We start from the raw sequence: 12,612 nt of genomic DNA, 5'->3' as shown, positions 1-12,612 counted from the left end.
TGGTGAAACCCCGTCTCTACTAAAAATACAAAAATTAGCTGGGCATGGTGGTGGGCACTTGTAATCCCAGCTTACTCGGGAGGCTGAGGCAGGAGAATTGCTTGAACCTGGGAGGCGGAGGTTGCAGTGAGCAGGGATTGCGCCATTGTACCCCAGCCTGGGCAACAAGAGTGAAACTCCAACTCAAAAAAAAAAAGAAAGAAAGAAAGAATGGCCCAATCTTGTGATGGAGCTCAGCTATTCACATGTTCCAGTTCCTCCTCAATTTAATTCTTTTTTTTTGAAACAGAGTCTCCTTCTGTCACCCAGGCTGGAGTGCAGTGTCATGATCTCGGCTCACCGCAACCTCCACCTCCAGGGTTCAAGCAATTCTCCTGCCTCAGCCTGCCGAGTAGCTGGGATTACAGGTGTGCGCCACCACACCCAGCTAATTATTTTTGTACTTTTTTTTTTAGTAGAGACAGAGTTTCACCATATTGGCCAGGCTGGTCTCAAACTCCTGACCTTGTGATCTGCCCACCTCGGCCTCCCAAAGTGCTGAGATTACAGGCATAAGCCACCGCGCCAGCCTTCCTCCTCAATCTAATTCTTACTCTTCTTACCTAGACAATTGCCATGAAAACCCTGGCCCATCCCCCTACGTGCACGGCTATATGCACCAAAGAAGAATCTAATATGCAACTTCGTTTCCCCATTTTAATCCAGGTACTATAACGTTCTGTTCACTTAATTTCTTCCATGGTGTCATCTCTTTTCCTATGACTGCAAGATCTATTTTTACCCTCCTCCCTATTGCCTTGTACCCAGGTCCACAACTACCGTTCTTTTCCCAGGAATAGCCCTTTTTCTATTTGCTTTTTCAAGGATTCTAGCAGCTTTACATTGTTACTAAGGTCTTATGGAAACCCAAGCAAAGTGGCAAGAATGGAGCACGTTGAGGAAAAGATTTAGGGTCCCTGGGAGCCAAGACTGTGCTATAAAAATGTTCTAGAAAATGCTATAGAAGCACAGAAGAGGGAGTATATAATTTTACATGGTGGAATCAAAGATTCAAAGAGGATGTGACATTTGAACTGAAGGAGTACTCCCAACTCGGCAGCTGGATGTAGAGAGAGGAAGTTCCAAACAGGAAAAACAGAATACACAGAGACCTGGCAGTGTAAAGTGCATGGCATGTTCCACAGGACAGAGTCTGTTCCTTATTGTTGCTGGAGTACTGGGAGGTGACAAAGTTGGGAGAAAATGAAACTGGAAGGTAGGAAGACACCAAGTACTTAAAAATCTTTGTATGCTGGAGAGTTTGAGTTTCATCCTGTAGGTAATAAAAAACCATTACAGGATTTAAGCAGGAATGTGACATGATCTGTGTTTTAGAAAGATGACTTCTGGCCACAGTTTGGTGAACCAGTTAAAAAGTGATTCTAAACCCAGGCAAGGCTCTTTTCTTTTTATTTCCTTTTCTCTGTGCTCTTATCACAGTCCAGTGGCATAGTAAATAAACAGATCTGAAAATGACATTTCGTCATTCGTTTTTAAAGATAGGCTCTCAAGTGATGCATGTATAATCGTGATCTGACTCAGGGGGAATACGTCGATCTTGCAAGGTTTGTAAAAAGACAATGTGGCATTTTAAAATCCTCTTCTCCTTTTTAGAATCATGAGACCATTGAAGGATTTCTGCCTTAATTTGTATCAGGATTCCCACTTTGCTCTGTTGCCACTTACTGTGACTTAGCTGCTAAAGATACTTCAGGTCTTTTGCGGTTCTATATTAAGGATGGATTCTTAGGATAAAAATGAAGCTGAGGATGTTGGGTTACAGATATGTGTTATTGATAAAATCAAAAGACACATATGCTTAACCCACCACCACAGAACACTCATGGTTTTGAAGGAACACAATTTTTTTTTTCAAGTAAATAAAGCACTGTGGGAATTCATGATGCCACAATTATGATAGTACATCAGATTCATTTCATCACTATAGGCTGTAGCATACATAGGATAAGCTATAAGTTATTTTTGATTGACTTCTCCCTGTAAGAAAGCGTATCAGAATGCAGTGAGTGGTATTGTTATAGAAAAACTTAAAACCCATTCTTTTTTTTTTTTTTTTTTTTTTTTGAGACGGAGTCTCGCTGTGTCTCCCAGGTTGGAGTGCAGTGGCGCCATCTCGGCTCACTGCAAGCTCCGCCTCCCGGGTTCATGCCATTCTCCTGCCTCAGCCTCCCGAGTAGCTGGGACTACAGGCGCCCGCCAACACGCCCGGCTAATTTTTTGTATTTTTAGTAGAAACGGGGTTTCACCGTGTTAGCCAAGATGGTCTCGATCTCCTGACCTCGTGATCCGCCCGTCTCGGCCTCCCAAAGTGCTAGGATTACAGGCGTGAGCCACCGCGCCCGGCCAAAACCCATTCTTATTCTAAAAGTAAATTATTCAAAATCTCTGTCCTTTAACTGATCAAAGTATACCAATGTTTCACGATTGAGAAGCAATGGATTATTACAGTTAGTCATTCTTTAAGATGAACTCCTGACACCTACCAGAAAGTATTGATTATTACCATTTATTTAGATACTATCATTAGTGCATTGAAGTTACCATGCTTGGAGTTAGAAGGGCTTTTTCCTGACACTTTCATTTCTCATAAGTAAAATCCCACGGAAAGTGAAGATGTGGAAGAGAGCATCTTGCAAGACCACAGGTCTCCTAGACAATTAGCATGTGTTGCCCCTTTGTAGGAATGAGAGGGTTCTTCATCCTCCATGAATACTCATGGTTTCTGTAAGTTACCTTGTGGCTTGGCATTACTGAGGGAATACTTTATGAAAAGAAACCAGTTTGGATATTTGGCTTTAAAATCCTTTTGTTTTGTTTTTGTTTTTTGTTTGTTTGTTTTTTGTTTTGAGTCTTGTTCTGCCACCTAGGCTAGTGCACTCTCAGCTCACTGCAACCTCTGCCTCCCAGGCTCAAGCAATCCTCCTGCCTCAAGCTTCCAAGTACCTGGGACTACAGGCACATACCACCATGCCTGACTAATTTTTTTGTTTTTGGTAGAGACGGAGTTTCACCATGTTGGCCAGGCTGGTCTCAAACTCCTGGCCTCAAGTGATCTGCCTGCCTCAGCCTCCCAAAGTGCTGGGGAAAATCTTCCTTTTCAAACCCAAATCTCTTCCTTCAAGAGTAAGTAAATCATGTCCAAGATTTCTGCATGAGCCCTACACTGGAACAGGGTTTCTTTTTTCTAGATGATCACCCTTGCATCAGAAGAGGTCTTACGAACCTTGGTGACCAATCAGCATTTTTTTTTTTTTTTTTTTTGAGTCGGAGTCTCGCTCTATCACCTAGACTGGAGTGCAGTGGCGCAATCTCGGCTCACTGCCACATCCGCCTCCTGGGTTCAAGCAATTCTCCTGCCTCAGCCTCCCAAGTAGCTGGGATTACAGGTGTGCACCACTATGCCCAGCTAATTTTTTGTATTTTTAGTAAAGACAGGGTTTCACCATGCTGGCCACGGTGGTCTTAAACTCCCGACCTCGTGATCTGCCCACCTCGGCCTCCCAAAGTGCTGGGATTACAGGCGTGGGCCACCACGCCCAGCCCCAAGCAGCATTTTTTGAGAGCTTCTGGCTGTGCCCTCTTATAGGTACTTAACTCATGTGTCCTTTTATTGAATTCTGAGACTTTCTTGTATTTTGCTCTATATCTCTTTTGACCTCTTGGATTTCACATAGATCTGCCCTAGGAGGCAATTCCAAAGATTAATCAGTTAGTACATTTAAAAGTAACCGAGTGCTCACTTTGGCAGCATATATACTAAAATTGGAATGATACAGAGAAGATTAGCATGGCCCCTGTGCAAAGATGACATGCAAATTTGTGAAGCATTCCATGTTTTTGAACTAACGCAGAAACAGAAAACATAATATGGCATTTTCTCACTTATAAGTGGGAGCTACACACTGGGTACACATGGACATAAATATGGCAACAGTAGACACTGGGTAAATGCACGAGGAGGTAGGGAGGGAAGCAAGGGTTGAAAAACTATTATTGGGTACTGTGCTCACTACCTGGATGACAGATTATTCATACTCCAAACCTCAGCATCACACAATATACCTTTGTAACAAACCTACACATGTACCCCGATTCTAAAATAAAAGCTGAAAAACATAAAAATAAAATAAAACCTGCTCATTTTACTCATAAAAAAGTAAATAAGAAATATAGATACTAAAATAATTTTTTGACACCAGGAGTTAGAATAACCACACATCATGCCTGTTTCTTCTTCCAAAAAACAGGGTCTCTTTTTGTGGGGGAGTGAGATAGGAAGACCCAATCTTTCCTCATCCACTTCTGTGCATGTCTGAAGCTCAGAGTATTGGAAACAGCATGGGCTATTCCAACTGAGCAACCTTCAGCAAATTATGTCATTTCATTACACCTCAGTTTCCTAGTCTGTAAAGTGGGGATGATAATAAAACATGCCTCATAGGGATATTGTGGGACTTAGATGTAAAAATGCTTGATACAATGCTGATGAATTTAAAACTGGTTAGGGTTTTGGGGGGCCATTTTTGTTAAAGCATATTCATTTTAATTATTTTGTTTATTATCTGCTTTTTTTTCTTTGTACTACTGACCTAGAACCTCAGAGGTTTTTTTTGTCTTCAGTATAACAGGATTTTCTCCACAGATTTCTGTAACCTGGGTTCACTATAACCTGGATTCACTGGTATTTTTAAAAGACCTTCAAAAATTAGAAGGGCAACATGAGTCTATTGAGGTCTCATGAAAGTTGTCTTCTGTGTTGGTTTGCTAACTACAAATGTGTCATTTCTACCATTTTCTGGGGTCCTTTAGTCTAGCTCCTGTTGCTCATGTTCTGTTTCCTAGCTTCTTACATCACAGCTTGTTGAAGAACTTGATTAAGTACGTTGTGTTCATTCCCTTCCTTTCATCTGTTGTCCAATTTATTTCTCCATGAACAGTTCCATTCAGTTAGTTTAAAGCCATCTGTTTGAGTGCTTTCTATATCTTTGAAATTTTAGATGCTAAATCTATTACTAATGTTTTAGAATTTTTCACCTTTCATATGTTAAGCTAAATTCCTTTATAAGTGAAGCACAATGCAAGAAAAATGTGTGGTATAAGTGTAAACTCAGGTGGATATCAAATGGAACCACGGAAGTTAAAGAATTATATATGCCTGTTCAAGGGACTAATCAAGGAATAGTCATTGAAACCAACTTCCTTGTTAGCATCGGAAGATGACACTTCCTGCCAGACACTACAAACTATCATTTATTGACTGGTTCCTGAAAATTGAGAAGAAGGCAAAAAAGTAACCCAGAAAAGTAAGAAGCTAAGGAAAAGCAGTAATGAACATATTAAAGAAGGCCACAGAAATCAAATGCACAAAAGAGAGGTTCATGAACAGATTTGAAATCCACAATCACCAGACAAGAGAAAACTACCCCCTCCCCAACCTATCTGCAATACCCTCCTCACCTTGGTACATTTGAGGCATTTTAAAGCGTGTGTTTGTGTTTATGTCTGCAGATGCACACACACCAGCCATCTGTGACTGCATTGGAATTGCAGGTGGAATTTGACCATTCCCAGCCTTCAGATGTTAAATTTTCTCCAATCTCATACACCCAATCCCCAGGTTTTTTACATGAGTACTTTAATGAAGGATCCTGCTAAACTTCACCCTGTCTGAAATTCACCCCTGTTAGCTATTAGTCTCTAGGCTCAAGTTGGTTAGGTCCCTCTTTTAAACAGTTGAAAAGAACTTGAATTAAAAGGAAGAGGGAGGATGGGAGAAGTCCATAACTTAACAGGGGGACGATTTGAACAAAAGATGTTTTTTAAAAAACTATTTATTTTCCTTTCAGGATGATTTAGCAAGAGACCAAGCCAGCTGCCTATAATGAAAGTTAGTGGGCACCTGGTTTGTTCTGCAGGGGCTGCAGCCTTTTTGCGTGGAAATTGTGTGGCCTCCTGTGCTATTAGCCTTGTGCTCTGGTGTTGCCAACTGATTTCTCCAATTCTCTTTTCTCAGTGGGCTAGAACGCAGCTGGTTAAATAGGCCGTGACTCACATAAGCTCTCGTGTCTTTTTTATTGACTGCTTTATGGAAATGTATCACACTCCAAAGGGTCCCCATTGTTGTTGCTGTGCATAGCTGACTAAAGAGTCATGTTTAGCATTGAGAGATGGAATCCTATTCTGTCGTTTTTTATTGCTTTTTTTGATGTGGGTGGGATACAAGGGTTTAAAGGAAACTAGATGAAGAGAAAGATATCTGAGAATTTCTTTTATCTTCATCTGCCATGAAAGTTGGGTGGCCATCACTTCTGGGTAACATACTTCTCTGTTGATCTTATCTTTGTGGCCCCATATCCTTCAGCTAAGTGAATCTTTTCTTTATACGGGCTGTTCTGAGAGGTTTAGTTAAGTGTAGTGGTAGGGAGAGATTATGACACTAATGTAATTCTGTTTTGTGCTGATATAATGTAATACACCTTTAGACTTAGCCAAGAGGGCCATTTATTCTCAATAAATCAAAATCATTTTTATTTTTTCATGACGGTGGTGATATCTTTTCTCAGGTAATGAATAAAAAGCTTCTTTTTTTAATTGTATACTTAAATATAAATTGTTTGCCTTAAAATAGCAACTTATACAATTGTTTGCAACTTCTTCCTATTTTTATAACCGTCCTTTAAAGCATATTTTACATACTTTCTATTATGCATTAAGTAGTTCTCTGCAGATCTGTTCGTTTACCAGTAGGTGTGGATCCAGGCATACAAGATTCCTGCCTCATCACCCCATGGCATGGCTAACACTGTTCATCCTCAGGATCACTAGTTCTTGATCAGTAGGACCCTGCGCTGACACTGAAAGAGGAGGTACCTTGCATGCCACTGTGGATTCCCACCTTGGTTATTTGGATTTGTCAGATAGATCATGGAGCTAATGAGATTGAGCTCAGAGCCAACTACATTGAGAACAACTCTGTTATTGAACTCACCACACAGTACCTTGTACACAGAAGACAGTTAGTAGACTAGAGACTGATCTGACCTCATTTCCTAATTTTTTTTCCGTAGACATTCTAAACTGAGCCTATAATCCCATTTTTTCCCACTGCCCATAAGGGGAACCAGGCAAGAGAATTCCTCAATACAGATTCTGTCTAATGAATAAGAAAGCAACATAGACCGGGTGCGGTGGCTCATGCCTGTAATCCCAGCACTTTGGGAGGCCGAGGCGGCTGGATCCCCTGGGGTCAGGAGTTCAAGACCAGCCTGACCAACATGGAGAAACCCCGTCTCTACTAAAAATACAAAAAACTATTCAGGCATGGTGGTGCATGCCTGTAATCCCAGCTACTTGGGAAGCTGGAGCAGGAGAATCGCTTGAACCCGGGAGGTGGAGGTTGCAGTGAGCTGAGATCACACCATTACACTCCAGCCTGGGCGACAAGAGTGAGACTCTGTCTCAAAAAAAAGAAAGAAAGAAAGCAACATAACACATCTTACTGACTATACACAAAAACACACCATATAAAAAGCTGTTTCCAGCTCTATTCCTTTTCAGAATCTTGTTAGTGAATGACCAAGAGAAAAAATTCAGCAGCTCCTTTGGTACCCAATTTTAGCAAACTGAGTTTGACTCTTGGGGAGAGAAGGTGGTGATGGTGCTATCCCTTGTCTCCTAGAATTAGTGACTTAGAGTTACATCTCTGCTGTATTATGTCTTTGTTTCCTTAGTGGTGGCATTCTTGGGTTTCAGTTGGTGGGGAGAGAAAAACCTCATGCTGATAATGTACTGAAAGTAAATGAAATTAAATAAGCGAAGCAGTGCTCATCACTACTTCCTCCCCCCTGGGTAATTCAATTCAAGCTCTCTCTCTGATGGCAACTCACAGGGGCTGTCTCTGTCACCCCGCTGGGGCCTGGAGTCTTAACATCTAAATAAAAGTTTCACTCAGGCATTTTTTATGCTCCTGCCAGCAGGATCAGTGAGCTGGTGTGGGCACATTAATGTAATATTCATACTCACAGACTCTCCCTGCACACGAGGCAATGTCTTCCCATTTTCATAATTATAGATGTTCCATAAAATGGCATTTAAATTTGCATTAAAAAAAGGAGGTTTGAATTCTAATAGAACGTTTAACATGTCTTTTATGATTCAGACTCTTGGCATCTTTGACAAGGAGCTGTGTCTCTAAGTTTAACAAGACCTTTAAAAAGAAAAGAAAAAAAAAACCTGTGGAAAGAAGAGATGGAAACTCCCAGCTTATGGGATCGTGTTTTCCTCATCTCCCTATGTCTTTCATTTAATTTTTAGGCCTCCAGGAGCAATTTTTTTTTTTAAGAGGCAGAGTCTCGCTCTGTCCCCAGGCTGTTGTGAAGTGGTTCAATCACAGCTCACTGCAGCCTTGAACTCCTGGACTCAAGAGATCCTCCTACCTCAGCCTCCAAGTAGCTGGGACTACAGGTTTGTGCCACCACACCTGGCCTCCCCAGGAGCAATTTTTTGACAGCACTTCAGAGAGCCTTCTCTTCTGTAACTGGTCCTCACCCCACTCAATGCCTCACCCTCAGTAGAATCTGCTACTGTTTCCTTGGAGGGTGTTTTCAGAGGGGTAGGAGAAATGAAAGAACCCTAGAAAAATGAACTTTCCTTTGCTGCTGTTCATCTCATGCGTGCACCCTGAGATTGATTAAAAGGATTTATGGCAACCACATAGTTTGCTAACTGTGAAACACACAAATAAAAGTAGTCCATGAACAAGGAGGTTAACAATAAGGACCAATTGGATAAAAAATCAGGCACATAGACACACTTAAAAACAGAAAAAGAGGCTCTTCTGATCTACCTTTTTATAACTAAGCTTGAAACAGCTTTAAAGCAAAATGTAATTTTGATTGCATTTTAAATTGTCGTAGATGTTATTTTAAAACAAAAAGTAGGAAAAGCACTGAGCAAAGTGCCAGCTCATAGCCACCATTGAATAAATGTTATTGTAGGAAATGTTCAAAAAACAATTGTTTGAAAAAAAGTTATTTCAACCATAACTCTCAAGATACTCTATAGGTGGCCCAGTTGATTCATATGTAGTTATGCCTTACTTTGTTTTGTATTTGGTTTGCTTCATAAATTATTTAAGACAATCCAAAAGAGATTTGAGTTCTGGGACTAAAAAGAATAAATGTTAAAATACCGCTAGCCCAATTACCTTCATTTTGCCTAATTAAGAAATGTGGAGTGTGTCCTTAAAAGAGGCTTTTTTTTTCATTCTTCTTTCATTTTATTTTTTGAGAAGTAAATTCCTTCTTTGTCTCCATCCTTTGTCCCTCCCTTCTGTGAAGTAAGTATAAACCCCAGTGGAGGAAGATGGATTAGGATCTTGACTTCTCAATAAATTTGTACCTAACAAGGCTAATTGAAAGCCAAGAATGTTAGCAGCATACAATTAAAGGCTGATGTAAGTTTCAGGGTATTATTTGTGAAGCCTTTTACAGTTCTTAGATTCTTTCGCATACTTTTTTTTGTTTGTTTTGTTTTGAGACGAAGTCTCATCCTGTCGCCCATGCTGGAGTGAAATGGCACGATCTCGGCTCACTGCAACCTCCGCCTCCCGCATTCAAGAGATTCTTGTGCCTCATCCTCCCGAGTAGCTGGGATTACAGGTGTGTGCCACCATGCCCGGCTAATTTTTTGTATCTTTAGTAGAGATGAGGTTTCACCATGTTGGCCAGGCTGGTCTCAAACTCCTGACCTCGTGATTTGCCTGCCTCAGCCCCACAAAGTGCTGGGATTACAGGCATGAGCCACTGGGCCCAGCCTCTTTCTCAGACTTTTAAGAAATCAGGATTTGACAGTTATTGCTAAGTTCAGCTTGCATAGCCCTTCTTCTATGAACTTAAAAAAATTTATGTTCACAGAGATGGCTATCTGTTTGTTAAGAGAAAAAAAATTGAGTGTGTATTTATTGCTCCCTCTTAGGTGACTACGTTTATGGTGGAATCTATTACTCATTAAAGCTGTCTGTGCTGGTAGCTATTCATTTGACTTTTGATTATCTCAGTGAGGTTTATCCAACTTGGAACTTATATCCACAAAAAAATTCTTAAGTTTGGCTGGGCGCAGTGGCTCACGCCTGTAATCCCAGCACTTTGGGAGGCCAACGTGGACGGATCACGAGGTCAGGAGATCGAGACCATCCTGGCTAACACGGTGAAACCCCATATCTACTAAAAATACAACAAAAAAAAATTAGCCGGGCGTGGTGGTGGTCGCCTGTAGTCTCACCTACTTGGGAGGCTGAGGCAGGAGAATGGCATGAGCCCGGGAGATGGAGCTTGCAGTGAGCCAAGATCGCGCCACTGCACTCCAGCCTGGGCAACAGAGACAGACTGTCTCAAAAAAAAAAAAAAAATTCTTAATTTTCTGGAGTCCTTTTCCTGCCCATCAGTGCATATTTACGCTACCTCACCTTACTACAAATTAGTGTATATTTAGATAGTTTTAAGCAATTTTAGCATTAGATATAATTGAAAAGAAAGAAAATTGGCTGGGTGTGGTGGCTCACGTCTGTAATCCCAGCATTTTGGGAGGCCGAGGCGGGTGGATCACTTGAGGTCAGGAGTTCGAGACCAGCCTGGCCAGCATGGTGAAACCCCATCTCTACTAAAAATACAAAAAACATTAGCCAGGTGTGGTGGCACATGCCTGTAGTCTCAGCTACCTGGGAGGCTGAGACAGGAGAATGGCTCGAACCTGGGAGGCAGAGGTTGCAGTGAGCCGAGATAGCGCCATTGTATACTCCAGCCTGGGTGACAGACCAAGACTCTGTCTCAAAAAAAAAAAAAGAAAAAGCAAGAAAATTTACTTTTCCCTCCAATCATACAGAAATTGTTTTATTTTGTACTGTGTTTAAGCAATTGCCCTTTTTGTACTCTGTTATTAATGTGAATTACCTAAAGTAGCCTAAATAAATGAAAATTTTGCCAGGTTTCAATAAAGCATTTTGCCATTGGTCCTTTTAGGAATGGAAGACATCGTAAAAGGAGCTCAAGAACTTGATAACGTAATCAAGCAAGGATACTTGGAGAAGAAAAGCAAAGGTATTGGTCAGACCCACAGATTTCAGAACATTCCAGGAAGGGAAGGGAAGTGAGGAAAAAGAAGGCTAACACATTGGATGCCTTCTCTGTGCCCGGTACTGTGCTAGGCGGATACAAGGCAAAAGCAAAGCAAGGAAAGGAAAGGAGTCTGGTGTTTTCGTGTAGGCTAAAGAGAGATGTCCCAGCCTTGAGCAGACTGTAAGCTTCATCAGGATAGGGATGGTTATGTCCTGCTCACCTCTGTATCCCCAATGCCTGGTATGTGACAGGTGCTTGATAAAACTTGTTGAATCCATGAATGGTGTTCTTGTCCTCATCTCTCAGTGTGCTCCCACTGTGTAGTTTTTGTATCATATGTGAAGCAGTCTACTTTCAAATTTCAGATAAACCCAACTCTTTTGTTTTTTGTTTTTGTTATTGTTGTTGTTGTTGTTTGAGACAGAGTCTCACTCTGTAGTGCAGTGGGTGTGAACCTGGCACACTGCAACCTCCACCTCCTGGTTCAAGCGATTCTGCTGTCTCAGCCTCCTGAGTAACTGGGACTACAGGTGCGTGCCACCATGCCCAGCTAATTTTTCATATTTTTAGCAGAGACAGGATTTCATCATGTTGGCCAGGCTGGTCTTAAATTCCTGGCCTCAAGTGATCTGCCCGCCTCAGCCTCCCAAAGTACTGGGATTACAGGCATGAGCCACCACACCCGGCCTTTTTTTTTTCTTTCTTTCTTTTTTTGTTTTAAGATAGGATCTCCCTCTATTACCAAGGCTGGAATACAGTAGCGCCATCATAGCTCACTGCAGCCTCCAATCCTGGGCTCAAGCAATGCTCCCACTTCAGCCTGTCAAAGAGCTGAGACAACAGGTGCACACAACTGTGCCTGGCTATTTTATTATTTTTTTATAGAGACAAGGTCTCACTTTGTTGCCCAGGCTGGTCTCAAACTCCTGGCTTTAAGCATACTTCCCATCTCAGCCTCCCAAAGTGCTGGGATTACAGATGTGAGCCACCACTTCTGCCTTCAAACCCAACTCTTGACCTTTAACTCATTTAATTAGAGTAGGTACCACTAGAGTTGGCATCTCAGGTTTAACACTCAACAGGCAAATTGGCTCAGCACCAAAACAAAGGCTCTTTCATGGCCAAGGCCTGGAGAATCATTTTGCTTTGTCAAAGGCAACACATAAAGATATAATGGAGAGTTTGAAAATGTACAGGATGAGATTAGAACCCGAAAGATATAAAGGAGTCTAGATAAAAAGACAGCTGTGGGGGCACAGAGCAGGCAACCCTGTTTAGAACTTGGACCTTTGACTGAGCTAGTCCCCTGGACCCTGAGTCAATATGGGATAACCTGTGGGAGTGAAAAGGAGGGTTTTACAGTCCATTAACCTGGGAAATAAAACAATAACACACTGGACTGTATGTTGTTGGATTTTACAGACTCTTCAATGATGGT

At 41.6% G+C, this 12,612-nt stretch overlaps 1 protein-coding gene and 1 pseudogene across 13 annotated transcripts in view, besides 1 other annotated feature; both read left to right on the top strand.

Moving 5' to 3' along the window:
* SKAP1 (src kinase associated phosphoprotein 1) overlaps nt 1-12,612 on the top strand; it is a 311,620-nt gene that overhangs the window by 244,483 nt on the left and 54,525 nt on the right. For 9 of the 13 annotated variants that reach the window (XM_005257755.5, NM_001075099.2, NM_003726.4 and 6 more), the window contains one exon: nt 11,079-11,156. In XM_005257755.5, coding sequence (XP_005257812.1) covers nt 11,079-11,156 — 78 coding nt within the window. Of the gene's footprint in view, nt 1-1,136; nt 1,256-6,807; nt 6,927-11,078; nt 11,157-12,612 lie in introns of those variants that run through there. The other 4 variants (XM_017025258.2, XM_047436979.1, XM_047436978.1 and 1 more) reach the window with 2 other exon arrangements.
* Nucleotides 3,793-3,898, top strand: RNU6-1152P (RNA, U6 small nuclear 1152, pseudogene; annotated as a pseudogene).
* Nucleotides 7,793-8,410: an enhancer, noted in NCBI's record as "NANOG-H3K27ac hESC enhancer chr17:46269531-46270148 (GRCh37/hg19 assembly coordinates)". NCBI's record gives its function as "activates a minimal SCP1, AML or CMV promoter by ChIP-STARR-seq in naive H9 embryonic stem cells {active_cell/tissue: H9 hESC(naive)}" and the evidence as "EXISTENCE:reporter gene assay evidence [ECO:0000049][PMID:30033119]".

Source organism: Homo sapiens, chromosome 17, assembly GCF_000001405.40.
Source record: "Homo sapiens chromosome 17, GRCh38.p14 Primary Assembly".
Taxonomy (NCBI): Eukaryota; Metazoa; Chordata; class Mammalia; order Primates; family Hominidae; genus Homo; species Homo sapiens.
This window is presented reverse-complemented; position numbering and strand designations above follow the sequence as displayed.